The sequence below is a fragment of the Homo sapiens genome, chromosome 8, assembly GCF_000001405.40.
Source record: "Homo sapiens chromosome 8, GRCh38.p14 Primary Assembly".
NCBI lineage: Eukaryota > Metazoa > Chordata > Mammalia > Primates > Hominidae > Homo > Homo sapiens.
The window spans coordinates 70,172,373-70,187,341 of record NC_000008.11 but is presented as its reverse complement, the minus strand read 5'-3'; the positions used below and the strand labels follow the sequence as shown (position 1 = coordinate 70,187,341).

At 38.3% G+C, this 14,969-nt stretch overlaps 1 protein-coding gene across 49 annotated transcripts in view; it reads left to right on the top strand.

Moving 5' to 3' along the window:
- The window catches only part of NCOA2 (nuclear receptor coactivator 2), a 346,665-nt gene that overhangs the window by 269,105 nt on the left and 62,591 nt on the right, over positions 1-14,969 (top strand). For 47 of the 49 annotated variants that reach the window (XM_047421240.1, XM_047421258.1, XM_047421256.1 and 44 more), the window contains one exon: positions 12,483-12,586. The exons of the other annotated variants lie outside the window; for them this stretch is intronic. In XM_047421240.1, coding sequence (XP_047277196.1) covers positions 12,483-12,586 — 104 coding nt within the window. The remainder of the gene's footprint in view (positions 1-12,482; positions 12,587-14,969) is intronic. 49 annotated transcript variants of the gene reach the window in all.

Here is a 14,969-nt window from a genome sequence, read left to right as displayed (position 1 = left end):
GAATTAAATAAAATAAGAAAAGGAGAGGATTTGGTTATAGAAAGGTTAGTCTGGATACCAAATTTAGGAAACATTGTAAATGTTGGTTGGCCTTTGTTAATGTCACTTTGACCTCAGCATGCAAATTGTAACCACCTCTCTTTCACACTTGTGCTGGGCTTTGCAGCATGGAAGTGCCAGCCATTTCTAAGGCCCTCACTGCTTCTCCTGCTGCCTGGTTGAGGCATGTCAATTTCTGAGTGATGCCAGTCCTTGTATTCTTTTTAATTGCCTACTGCTTTAAATAGTTGTGGAAGGTTGGTTGATGATTCACTGCCATGCCTGCTTAAATTGGAGAGAATTTATGCTGTAAGGTATTTAAAGGGTCATTTTAAAGATGTATTTAAAGCTCTTCCTGTTGTCATTATGAAATGCAGTAATTATTGAATGGATATTTGACAGGACCTCTTTTTCTAGAATGTCCTTTGAATTTAGGTGTTAATGAAGATGTTAATAAAGAAAATTCACATTTTTACAAATTAGGAAGATCTACTTTGGAATTATTTTCCAAATGCTTCCTAGTCTTTCTTCTCACCTACTGTTTTACCTGATCTCTTACTCTCAATACAGTGAGCATGTTACACAATAAGACATACTGTAAATTTGTCTGTAAATACATATCAGGTTTATTTGTTACATATGCAAACCTTGCTTTTAAAAATTTTGTAGTAGCATATTTTTGATCTTCAGAACAAATCAGGTCCTTTATTTTACCAGACTTTACTTCGCAGAATTTACCTGTCCCAGGTAACAGCTCTCTTCTGGAAGAGGGCCCTGATGATCTTAGTGCAGAAGATGAATACTTCATAACAGCTTTGTCCCTCGCAGCACCTTGCCCTCTGCAGTCAGCCCTGATCTGAGGGGCCTTGGTAGTGCCGAGTTCATAAGGACTGGGACCATTCTGAGATTAGCTGGTCAGGGGAGGAAAGTGAGGAGGGAGGACATACACTTTGTATGTAAAAATGTGAATTCAAAATTAAGCTGTTTCAAGCATTTGAACAGAATCTGTTTCTATATGATATAAATATTATTCTTTATGTAGTTTTCCCCACAGAAGTTCTGTTAGGAAGAACATAGACCTTCTAATGGTTAGAAAGTCCCTGGGTTGTGAACTGAGACCCAGGATTATAAACTTTTTACACCATCCTTTCTTGACATCCTGGAGGATAAATCTGGGCTCCTTTCCCCAAGATGGGTTTCTCTGGAGAAAGAGAGAGAGAGAGTGAGAGAGTGTGTATGTATTTAGGTTTATTATTTGTATGTGCGTTTTCATTGTTAGGTGGCCGCATTCCTATACGTAGTTTCTAATAGGTTAAAAAAAAAAATCCTGTGAACCAGGTAGAAAATAAACATACATGTAGAGAAGGACTAATGACACAACAAATAATGGCAGTTGGAGAATCACAAGAAATGGTAAACTCTGCCTGTAGTAACTGCTCAAATTGCCAAAAAAATACTTGAGACTAGACAGACCTATTCTCATATACCCACTTATTTTCCTCCCTAAATGTTCACTTAGAAATTACCTAGTTTTTGTCTTAGCAGTCAGCTTTCCAGAGAGTTGATTTGACTGAAGCAAATTCTTGGCTACTAGAGATCTTTGCCTGTGGGAGATTTGAGTGGTGTCAGATTGTAAACTTTTCTGGAGCCTGCCTCTGGAGTTGTTCCACCTCCACGCCACCCCACCACGTGCCCCATGACCCTGTCCACAGAGAGCTTGCGCCCTGGCCACAAGCAGCCTGCACTCGCCTTACAGTTACTTCCTTTGTTCTCATGGTCTTTCTTGTTTTGCTCCCTGGAGTCTGCTGTCCTCTCAGCCCCATTCTCCCTGTGCCTTCATTGCTTGGCCAGAGCCATGGTGCTGCGTATATTTATGCAGAGTTCTCCCATTGTTAACACTGCTTTGCTTTCTCTGCTACAATGATATGATTTAGCATAATGTTTTAGGCTCTAAATTGGATGATTCTGTGTTCTATTATCAGCTTTTTGCATTAGGTACTTTAAATTAGGAACACCTGCTTTTTGAAAAACCACACTGGTGAGGTCCTCCCATGATTGCTCAAGCAAATGCTAGAATGAGAGAACTGGGAATAGACGGTAGTAAGCAAAATGAAACCGGGAATTTCAACCTCCCTATGATATTGTTAGAATCACAGTAGGGGAAAGGAGAAGAGTCTACATATGATGAGTTGTAGCAGTCTCTTTAGAATGACATCAGATCCTGTGTCTGTAGAGAGAAACTGGAAGGAAAAGATAACCAGATGGGAGAAAAACACAAGGAGAGAAATGCAAGCAGGTCTGAGAAGTGGAACAAAATGCATTGGGGAGCAAGATGTCAGTGAAAAGGAAGTGAGGAGCAGGGAGGATTCCTAGGCATGGAAGATATGGCCCCAGAAGACAAATGAAGGTCAGGTACTAGGATGGTTTTCAGTCCTTTCGAAGCCTTGAGAGACACCCCTCCAGATAGCCACCATTAAGGTGAAGCAGCGGCCTGGGTGTGAAGCCTTGCAAGCTTCATAGAAATGAGGGTTGGTGGCAGAGCCAGAAAGAAGAGACAGCACAAAGTAACCAGCCCCCCTTCCTTTCCTTCATCCTTCCCTCTGTCTTTCTCTACACGTTTATTGGCCATCTTTAGGGCGTTCAGCTTTATTTTAGTCATTGGATATTCAAAGTTGAATAAGACAGGAAGAACCTTGGCAGCCTCTCCAGGGATTTTAGCCCTTCGGCCAATCCCACTTTATAAAGCCACCTATAAAGCGCTGCTTTATAGGTGGCTTTCCTCTATCAGCTGTTAACCTTATCCTTAGAATCCAAGGCTTCTCGCAGCACTCTGCGTGGGAGGGACAAGAAACCTGATGAAGTGCTCTTTTATCCTGGCTCCCCAGGCAAATGTGACAATTTGTACAACCTCCACTTGGGTAGGTTTATTTTCTTAAGAGCTGTGAGTGGCTGGGAAAATCCCAAGGACTGAAAAAAATGTCTGTGTTACCCAGATCACTTTTTTTGTAAAGTAGGTTGTAACTTCCTAGATGAGAATCTGGACTAGTAAAGTAGGCTGGTTGGGGTTTTTAAACTTCGTGGCTCAGGTGTAGAGAAAGCCTTGGTGACTTTTCTTCCAAATCCTCTTCTCATTGGCCTGACCACCTGAGCTATTATTCTTGATGCCCTTAGCAAATACGGTCTGACCTTTTTTCTCATCCCATCTCTACCTAATACTTTGACTCCAAAAATAAAAAATCAGAGTCTTAAAATGAACCTCCACTATGTTAGGTATATGGTAAAGCTCTTCCAAACAGATACCTCTGAAGAGACATTTGTGATATTTCAGCCCTGGCTAAATGGAATTTAATTTTAGCTCCAGCTGTGAAACTGTATTCACAGCTGTGAATACTGTGTTCAGTATTAACACAACATCATTGAGCGCCCACTATGTGCCAGGCAGCAAATAAAAAGTCATTTCTTACAGCCAAGGAGCCAGCAATGTAGTGAAAAGGGACAGACATGAAAATAGATCATTTCAAAATGGTGAGGGGAATGTTAAGATGGGGATGGGCATAGGGCATCACAGAAGCACGGCGGCAGGGGCCTAACTTCGTTGACATGAGCTTTCTGGAGCTGTGGTGGCATCTTCCAAGAGAAGGGGTGGAAGGGCATCTGTGCCAATGGAACAATCTGAGAGAATGCTCAAAATCTTGAAAGAATGTGATGCATTTGGGGGGAGACAGATACTAAATATTGCTATGGTGTATAAGCTAGGAATAATGGGAGATGAGGTTTACTGCGCTAATAAACAGAATTGTGATTTAGGAGATTTTAAAAGTTGCACAACTAAGACCAAAGTCTTAGAATTTTATAAACAACTTTTTAAATATAATTTTCATATTTTAAGCTATTTATCAGAAACTTTATTAAGTACTCCTACAGTGTAACTTTGTTGGCCTTGCTTTTGAGTTGACATTCATATTTGGAAGAAATAGAACTTTTTTATAATTTGGTCTTTTGACAGGCTTACTCATAATCTTCTGAATAAGTGATGACTTCGAGCCTCACCTCACTTCTCATTTCTTTCACACCCATTGATTTTTTTTCCTTCTTTCATCTAATCTCAATTTCACCTTTCAACTTTCTAAGCAAATTATGATTCCTTTATTTCCTTGTTCAGGTAACTTCCAAAACTTTAGTGAGTGGAGCCCAATAAATTAGAATTTACTCTGAAATAGCAGTTTTTATATTTTATTTTGCCTTCACCTCTCAGTACTCCATTGCTGTGGAAGATACAAATAGAGATGCACCATTATCATATCAGGGAATGAATGAATGCTGCCATAATAAATGTAGTAATATGTATAATATTTAATACTTGTTGGCTTTCAGTTCACTAACTTGAAGCACTTCTGAAGCCATGTTTCCATGGGTTCTTTCAGTGTCTACATTGTTTATTGTGTGCCTAAGTATTTTTTTTCTTCTGCAGTTGATCTTTAAATTTAAGCTCCTATAGGACATGAACTGTGAGGTGCAGGAATTTGGATTATATAAAAGGAAGATTTTGGACAAATTGTTATTCACTGACATGGCTTATCATGAAAGATTTTCCACTGCCCATTTTACCTTTCAGTAAATTCAATACTGATAGGTACTATATGAAGTGGGCTATTACATAGTAATATGTATGGGCAATAGCAGAGGGAATGATAGTGAATTCCCATGAACAAAAGCATTTTCTATTAAAGTCTATTCTGTCTATACTCAAAGCCTAAATATTCTGTCTAATACTCAAAGTCTATTCTGGTTGCTGTCCTTTCTCTTGGTAACTGTAGTACATTAATTTTAAAAGTAGGCCTGTGTATTTCAAACTTGAGACATGATTTTTGTTTCTACTTAAGTAGTCATGCCTTATACCATTGATGAAAATGAAGCCAAATATGTTGCTTTCTCTAAAGCAGAGAGTAAGAGGGTTTTGCTGGGTGGAGATGGCCTTCAGATTGGTTAATTTTGCTATTTCTTCATGCTGAAGGGAAATCATGATGTTAAGAAGCTCAATGTCAGAAAAAGAGGGAGGCAACTTGCGGCTTAGGTTCCTCCCACTACTAAAGAAAGTGCAGCTGCGCGCTTTTAATATGCACGGCAGGAGACTTCAGCAGCTTGATGATATATAGTGCATTAATGTTGAAAAGATAAACACATTTGGAGAGCACAGGAAGGGCCTTGTGTTTTTATGTTAGCAGAATGCTTCCTAATGAATAAGAATGTGCTGCTGGCTTCACAAAGCCATATGGCAGCTTTTCTAATTTTAGTTGGGTGCAGATGCATAATTCTCTCATTTTACCTTCTAGAACCTTGGAGATGCTACATAACTTTTCCTGTAATATTTCATCTATAGTGCTTGGTCAGAAACTGCCCATCATTGTTTCAGTGACTTCTTTGCTCTGCGTAGGTCTCACTGCTGCTGGGTTTGACAGTCACTTCACCTGAAACATCCAGTTCCTTAATGCAGGAAAACATAGAAATTGTGGATGTTTTCCCATTAGAATCTTCAAATTTGTTGTGGAGGTAATTAGACTTGTGTTTGACGTCAGTCTACTGAAAAATTCGTAGATTTCTAGGTGAGTGATTTTACTCACTTTGAAGCAGAGGAATTAATTATAAAACCTACACAAAGTATCAGATTCCATTTTAGTCAGAGATTCTATCTAATTTAAATAATACAGCTTCTGTAAAAACAACTCTCCTCAGGCTTGACCAAACAGAAAGATAACCTAAATTCTTAATTGTCTTTACACATCAGGGATCTGTAAACATGGGCAGTCTTAAAATGTCTCTATATATGTGTACATACCCTGTGGATTATCTCTCAGTAGATGCATTATTACAGAGTGAGTGACATTGTTTGGATTCTGACTTTTTGAAGATAGACTAATTTCTGCGCGTTTTCTACAACCTCTTCAGATGATCCCCAAAAAAGGAAAAAGCAAGAGTATCAACTTCTACCATAATGACAGTGTCACCCTGTCCCTATAATGGGAGACATTTAATAGCATTTAGGTTTCTAAGTAATCAGTAGTGGTTGCCACTGCTGCTGCTGGAGTTAGAACAATTACGTGGCTGTCCCTTGAGCATGACTGCCACCCCAGTGAAGGGATAGAACTCTGTTCTGGTAATGCTTTGTGGAAAGACTCTCTGAATTTGTAATCTCAGTTCAGTTGCCTAATAAAAAATTGATTAAGAGTACCTAATACTATGAGATTAAGTAAGCTACCAAAATTAATAAATGATACTTCAGAAGATTATGTAAAGGCCTTTTTTTAAAACATCACTTGATAATTTAAAAATGTTTAATTGTACTTTTTTAAAAATAAATTTTTTGCTAGGATCAGTTTCTAATTTATTGTTCTCACCAGAAGACTGGAATTTTACTTTCAGTTTATGCATGGAGCTGAGCATGGTGGCATTTGCCAATAATCTCAGCAACTTAGGAGGCTGAGTCAGGAGGATTGCTTAAGACCAAGAGTTCAAGGCTGTAGTGTGTGATGATCACACCTGTGAATAGCCACTGCACTCCAGCCTGGTGACATAGTGGGATGCTGTCTCTAAAAATAAACAAATAAATAAATAACAGATTTATGCCTGTACATGCCAATGAGCAATTTAATACAGCTGCTTCAAAAAATAAATATTTTTTCCTTGTATTTTCAAATCACTTATATTTCTAGGATCAGATTCTTCCCTGTTCACCTTTTCTTTTGTTCTAAGAGAAAGCACGAATAATAATTACTTATAAAAAAACCTATGGAATATAATATTAATGATTTTTCCCCAGTTTGTGGTATGACTCATCTTAACATGGTCCCTGAAGAGATGGGGTTTTGTTCTTCGCTTTGAAAGTGGAAATCTAATTAATTGGTGTTGGATTTCTGGAGCGCGGGCAAATGGAGAAGGAGATTGTGAGGGATTGCTGTTCAAGCAGCCACCCAGGAGGAAAAGGCGAGTCAGAGAAAAATTATAGAGGCATCCTTGGATGATCTCTCCAATCAGGTTTTGCATTTGTAAAACTGGGCGCTATTAAAAAGATCATAGCTACTTCCTACTGATCAGATCTAAAAAGATCAGAGATATTTTATGATTTCTTTAAGTCTTTTGTGAGTGAGGAAGACAAGGATAGAATTAGTATTTTCATTGTTACTTTCTTAGGTCGTGGTCTTTATCTAAAAAGAAAAACTGTGGGGATTGGGCATGGTGGTTCATGCCTGTAATCCCAGCACTTTGGGAGGCCAAGGCGAGAAGATTGCTTGAGCCCAGGAGTTCAAGACCAGCCTGGGCAACAGAGTGAAACCCTGTCTCTACAAAAACAAAAACAAAAATTTAATAAAATAAAAAGAATAACTTTAATGGTAAAAGCGTAGCAGGAAGAAATAATGAAGTCAGGGCTTAGAAGAAATATTCTAGTAGTCTCTGAAAATTTGATTTTATCATCTCTTTCTCTGATTTAAAAAGATTTCCATCTGTAATAATGAGATTTCATAAGGTTTTGATCATATGAAACTCTGAGACGAGCTTTCTACTGTTGAGTTTACTGAAGGATATTTTTGTAACAGAATATATTTTTATGGTTAATGGATGCAAAAGATAGAAAAGTAAATATAGTTTGTGACCGCTGAGAAAACTGCCTTATTTAAAAATATTTAATAGTGTGTTTTAGTGTAGTAATGCTGTACTTACAGAAGTATAAATATCTAAGGATTTAAGCTTATTTATATCTGGTACATAAAAATAGCATACTCATTACTGAAATGCTCTGTCAAGATACCAGTATATGTCCGGTTAACATAATAGTATCTCTCTAAAGAGTCCTTTTCTTTTTCCTCCTCCCTTCCTCCCTTCTTTTCCTCCTCCGGTATAATATCAAGGCTCAACTGAACATTCAACAGAGGTAGTAATTACTTCATGAAAAGTACCCAAATAACATAAATTTAGGGCCACTTTAATTTAGATTCCGATTACATTGGTAAAGCCATATTTCTGAGTGTTTTCTATCACTTCATATTATTGATTTTTTTCTTTTTAATATTGAGAAATGGTCAAAGCACAAATTCAATACAGAATTAAAGAATAGATGACAAATTAGCTAGAAAATACATATGTTTCATTCTTGTGAGAATAAGAGTAAGCTCTGAATTCTTCACCCTTTTTTCTTTTATTAATGAGGAATAAAAATTTCTCATTCTCTTAATATATATAAATAGCATTTGTGTAAATATTGCAACACTTTTTAAAGCTTCTCTTGCAATTAACCTATAGAGTCATTTGGAATTTTCTTTCAAATCACAATTTCCACTAATATAAGTTTAGATTGATCTTGTGAACAACTTTGTTGTTTTATTTTCTGTCTGAGTTTGCTAGAGTTCCAGCTTAGATCAATGTTTCGCCAGTGTTCCTTACCATGGGCTTTCAAACCAGGCTGAGATTTTGTAGTGGCCCGATGCCAGCCACACATCCGTCTCCACCTGTTTTCTTGCTGTCCACTTGCATATCCTGCAGAATCCAATTCGGTTACAACAAATGTGAAATACTTTCAGCTATGTCCAGCCATTTCCATCCCTTTTTTTGAACTGAGGGCTTGCTGTTTAGCCCTATGTTGTGCTCATTTGGTTGGGTTGTATACTTTTGCCCTCCTGGACAGAGGGTGAGCCCTCGGCAGACGAGGATTTTTCACTTTGCTTCCCCTGCACAGACAGTGCAGGCCACAGACCAGACACACAGACATAGGCTACTCTGCCCATCCCAGTGTCACTGTTCCATTCCCTCATGTGGGCTCACATAGGCCACTCATTCTCCATTACTGGTGTTAGCTACTGCTTTCTTCCTCTTAAATATTTATCAGTTGACTATTTTAAAGAATAAAACAGCATGTTTTGCATTTATAAGTAATGTTTCAGGGTAATAATTATTTTTATCCAGGCTTTCCTCCAGTTGTTCCTCAAACACATGTTTTGTGAGATCCAAATCATCTCCCAATTTAAATTGTAGGCCCTTACCCCAAATTATATCTGATAAATTCCTAAAAATAAAATACTGTACATATTTGATCCTGATTCTACATAACCTCTGACAAAAGTCTAAAATTCTTTGCCTGAGCACATTGCTAGAATTTAGAATACCCAGGCATGAAGACTTAGCAGTGTTGAGGAACCTGCCTGATTGAGTTATCTAAGTGTAAGGTTTTTGTATCACACAGAATGTCGATGGCTGAATTTAGATCCTCAGAAAGATTATCATACCCTGATAATATAAACATCTCACAAGGCCTACTTATTGTCTTTAAAAGGCCTAGAAATGGGTTACTATCACAAACATCATTATTTTGTATTTATTTTGCCCAAAAATGCAACATTAGTATAGATACCATAGGAAACAATAATTCATTACTATTGTGATATCAGAATCTCATGTGCCAAATAGGCTGATGTTTTCTAGTGATCAGCGATAGGCACAGGGTTGCCTTTGTGATTGGGCAGCTGTTGTTTCCTCTCACTCTCTCCCGCAACATTAACCTAAATTAAATTCATTCTTAAAAAGAATAAAATAGGACTTGGATCCTGAGAGAATAATAGGACTTGGGATCCTGAGAGAATATGAGATGCCTTGAAACTTCTTGACTATAGCAAGATAAGATTGTTATTTAAGACCAGTTTTTAGGAAACCCTTTCCCATATTACTTGACCCTGTCCACCTATTCTATCTTCCTCCTCTACCCTGGAGGTCCTGTGAGGCAAAAGGGGAAAATTACTTTATCTTTCCACACACCCTCGATCCCACTTGCTCCCATGCTTCTGGGAGGAAGTGCTGGTGGTGGGTCTAGCCTTTCAGTCAGCCCCCATAGATGCAGTGAAAACCTGGTCTGAAATAGGGACGGTGCTATTGAGGATCCAGACACAGTTCAAAAAGCTTACCTTCAAGTCGGGTAGCCTACTCTTTTGTGGACTGTGTGTCACACTGTAGGAGGCAGGAGAATGGGGATATCCTCCTAGGAAGATGTATCAGAATCTCAGCAAAGCAGACCTTTCAAGCTGTCTGTGTGTTCCCACTGCACATTCTGATAGACCCCCCTCCAGGGAGGTTGTCTTCTCATGTTTACCATTGCATTTTGAGAATCACTGCTGCTACTGAAAGATGGGAGAATGTGACCCCTGATGCGACCCCTGTGAATAGTTAGGCGAAGGAAAGGCTGCAGATCAGTCAGTCTGTGGGATGTCAGCACATTGCTCCTGCATGTGGACTGCTGCAACACTGAAGACAATAAAGAAGTAAGAATGCAGTAGGACCACATAAATTATGACATGTTTTATATGGGCCTTGAGATTTAGTATTCATGAAACATAGGGATCCTTAGGTCTGAGGCACACTGGGGCCTCTACAACAAGGACTGTTAAGGGAGGTACACACCCTGTCCACATCCAAGAAGACCCCACAGAGTGTGGTGTGGATGGAGGTGCTCAAGGAAAATCCAGCATAGCTACTGTAGCAAGATGGCCCTTGAAAATTAGATGAAGCAGCAGGTAGCAGTACAAATCCTATTCCTGTACTGGTGGGTAGAAAAGTGAGCAGATCTTGAGGAGAAATCAACATTCTTAGAGAGTGAACTGCCAAAAAAATTAAAAAGTATGCCCCAGTGCACATTTATTTTACTGTGAGTCTATTTGGCAATGAAAAAGATTCCAGTAAAAGGGGGTGGGGGCGGTCACATGCAATAATTGGCCAAGCCAATCCTGTGGCTGGAGACCCTGAGGTATTTGCCGCCTCAGAAGGGACCGGCTGAGGAATTGGAATGAGACCAAGCCTGCAGACAGAACAAATGTACAGGACCCAGCAGTGAGGAGCTTGGGAAGGCAGCAAAGCCAGAAATGAAGCAAGGACTGACAAATCCACCAATATTGAGTTATGAAGGCTACCAGACAAGTCATATCTCTATTTATAGGCAGTCACAATTTTTTCGATCTAAAGAGGTGAATCAGGAATATATTAGAGAGTTGATAAAGCAGATACAGTCTGCTTATGATAAGCTCTGCAGAGAAATTACTACATTTGGAACTCAAGGAAGAACTAATCAATACAGATATGCTAGTATTAAGATACATTTGTAAACTTCTTTGTATTTTTAAAGAGTGTTTCACATACCATCCCATTTACTTTGGCTCAGTCCATGATATACGGGAGACAGGTAAATTGAAGCAACTTGCTTGAAGTCATACTTCTTAGTGACTGAGTTTGAGCTTGAACTGCACAGGTCATCCTCCCCTCTGTGAAAGCTTTGTCATGGGAATGGCAAGATTGGGAGGACCCACATCATTCCTAATTGTTTTCTAGGTTCTCAGCCATAAATTAGGCTTTACAGATTTTCAACATACTGTATAAAATATTTTTGACAAAAAAAAAAAAATTATTAAGGTTCTGAAAGCAGGTTAATTCTGAGTGCTAAATTGATTTACAGTTTTCTATTTCTACGTTTAATTACAACGATAACATGCAGTGTAAACAGGATATAATTTATTCAAGTACAAATAATTGTCACGTTGTTTTGTGTTGTTTTCTAGCAAGTTGTTGATATGTATGTGTTATGCTGTAAACTTTTTTTGGTGTTCTTGAAATAACTACTTTACCACATACGTTGATAAGTGTGCATCTTTTTCTTCTGTGAGCTTTTTCACAAAACATTCTCATTCTATGAAGAAATGTCTTCCGGGGCCTTCCTGTCTTCATGAGCCTAAAATTTGCCTTGCACGTTTCCATCCAGGAGCGCACGCTACGCGCCTTTCTGCTAGATCAGAGGGCAGCCATTGAAATTCCCCAAGTGCCTGGTAGGGTGCTTCTAACCTCTTAGATGGAGAAGCACTTTGAACAAGTCAGGGACCAAATCTTCCTGTCCACTTTAAATGGGAATGTAAGCAGAAGTGGAACAGTAAAAGAGTCCAGGCAGACATTGCAGAATGTCTCATGGGGGCAGCCATAGCAGTTTAGGAGTCCTTGTTACTTCTTCAAATGTGTGCAAATCTATCTGTGATTATGCTACCAAATTCTGAACAACAGACCTTCCTTTATCCTAGTTTGGGGAATCTCCTGAGTAGAAATTAATTGTGCCATAGAATATAGCAGTTTCATAATCTAGAAAAAAATGCCTGTTGGGGACTGTCATGAAACCTCAAAATTCATTTTCTGGGCAGCCTGAAAGTGGATCCAAGCCACAGGTTCTAGAGGTGAAAAGTTAATGTTCTGGCTTCTGCTTCCAGCAGTTTCTCCCATTTAGGGGCAACAGGGATGTACTGTAACTCTTTTGTAGCTGCATCTGATCCCACTAGAGATTTTTAAAAATCATTACAGTAAAAACATTTCTGTGTCACTCTGTCCTTGAAATAGCACTGCCATTTAATTCACACTTATGTTTATTGCAGAGAAAGCAGCAGCTGCCAACATAGATGAAGTGCAGAAGTCAGATGTATCCTCTACAGGGCAGGGTGTCATCGACAAGGATGCGCTGGGGCCTATGATGCTTGAGGTAGCACATCTTCATTTTAGTGCTGTATTTTAAAATCTTGTTGATCTTCACATTATTACATTTAATTTCAGGTGAATATAATTTAAGGAGAATCCACACTAGTACTAGTACTATGGACCTCTTGAGCTTGCTGATATGCCTGTGTGTCTCTATGTATGTTTTGGCTCCTGCTGCCAGTATATGTGTGTTTGAAATTAACATAGAATTAAATTAACTAGATTAGAGTAGACATTGACAAGTTGTAATTGCCAGTTGAGCATTTATTTGAGAAACTGTATTCACAAGTCCTACTAAATTCTGTGTTGTATTTTAGCTTGAAATGTTCTCAAAATTCTTAAATTTTGTACATGCCATGTACAAATGCCTATACATACAGGTTAAAATATGAGGACCAAGGAGGAGCTTTATGCTTTCTATTTATGCTATTTGAAACTAGCTTATTTATCTCATAAGGAAGAAAACTGAAATAATAGGCAAAAGGAACTTTTAAGAGAAGCATAAGGTTGGTCTTAACTACCTGTTGTTTATTAACTTCAGGAAGCTTTATGACCAGCTAATGTCTACAGTTTGTAAAGTACAGTTTTTCTATTTTATTAACTAGTACTAAACGCCAAGTGCTTTGCTGTACCTGTTCCAAAATTAAAATTCAAGATGTAGGTTATGGTAAGATGAGAAAAAAAAATGTCAGTGAATATATAACAAGAAACAGAGGAACCCTGAGACATAAATTATGTCAGTTCTCAGGATAATTTGCTCGGCTGATGATACGATGAGGTTGAAAAGACTGCATGGCCAGAAGCTTTGCAGCACTGCCATTGTAGAATCAGCTAGCTTGCTGCAGCAGACAATAATTAGTATTTTTAAAACAGAGATAACCAATAGTCCCCCTTATCTCTTTTTTTTCAGTTGATGCTTAAAGGGATTTTTATTTTTAGAAAATCTAATTCTATGAAAATCTACCATAAAATTGGGGGCAGGGCGGAGGGGGGGCACACAATAAAGACTCCAAGAGCATCTGACCCAGTCTTTGTATTTAGAAATGACAAACTTCATTTCCTGGGGCTGGACCTGCTGGCCAAAAGGCTTTAAATGTCCCAGTGTTGGCCCTTGCTTATCTCCTCTAGAATCACTGGCTTGAAAACATTCAGCCTCCCTTTCCAGGAGAAAAGCAAAAACACACTTAACCCAATTTTCCATAGTCAACAAGGCAATGGAAGGCCAGAGAGTGCTACTTCTCTCTGGGTTCTTAGAAGCAGATTATGAAAACTATAACTAGGTGGACCATTTAGAATTAAATGAAAGAAACTGGATAATTTCCTTTGGAAAATGTTTGAATTACAAATTAAAAACTGATTTGAAAATTATGTTAACTAAATTATTACAATTGGGAAATTTCCCTATACATGTGTTTATTCATTGTATCTTGGGGTGGGGGGAACATTAGAGTGGCAACTCCTGGGAAGACTTTTGATACTTCTAAATAGAAATGCTGGGAATAACAGAGCTGGGACTCAAGCCCTTTGAGACTGAGTTCATTAATTGTAGAAATCAGATTGCTAGATGTCAGTAGACCTGATGTCATAAAATCAAACCAACATTTTTGTCATTCAGAATAGTCTTCTGAGAATTTAGTGCATTGATCAAGAACCTGTGTAGCAGGACTTGAGTGTTAAATGTGTTAGAGAGGTTATTCTTAAATCTGGTGACTTATGGTTTGAATTTAAATTTTTGTCCCTGTTTACGTGTAATCACTTAAACAGAGAGAACATGTTCTCATGGAGCTGTTCCTAGGCATAGATGCACACTCATGCTTACATCATAGCATAGTGGTTGCTAGGCAACAAAACCAAATGTCAGCTTTTTTCATCAGAGCATATCATAGTGAGCCTTAAAAAAAACACAGCTTTATGAGAGGAAACAATTTCGTCTTTCAGTTTTATTATACCTCAAGTCAGTCTTTTTACTGTGGTATAAGCAGTAGGAAGCAACATGTACTTTTAAAAATGAACCATAGGTAATATGATTATGAAAATCCCTATCAAAGGGTGTATCCAAAGCAGTGAGTTGAAAAGGGACACTGGGCATGTAACTTATCACCTAACCTCCTGAGTGCACACACTTGCACACAGTTCTCAAGGTTAGTACCATGTATTATGAAAGGCTATTTATTTACATATAGTCTTGCTTTGTCCTGCATGTGGTTCATACAATTGAGAAAACCTGATAGAATGTTTTAAGAAAAACTTAAAAACCAAATGGGTGAACCTTTCTCTGGTGCCTTATGGTCAGTTCTAATTTGAGAGAGCACTTAGTTTTGTGATTAAAATAGAATTAAAGATGAAATATATTCAAAGATAGCTCATAAAATAGGAGCCTGTTTAAT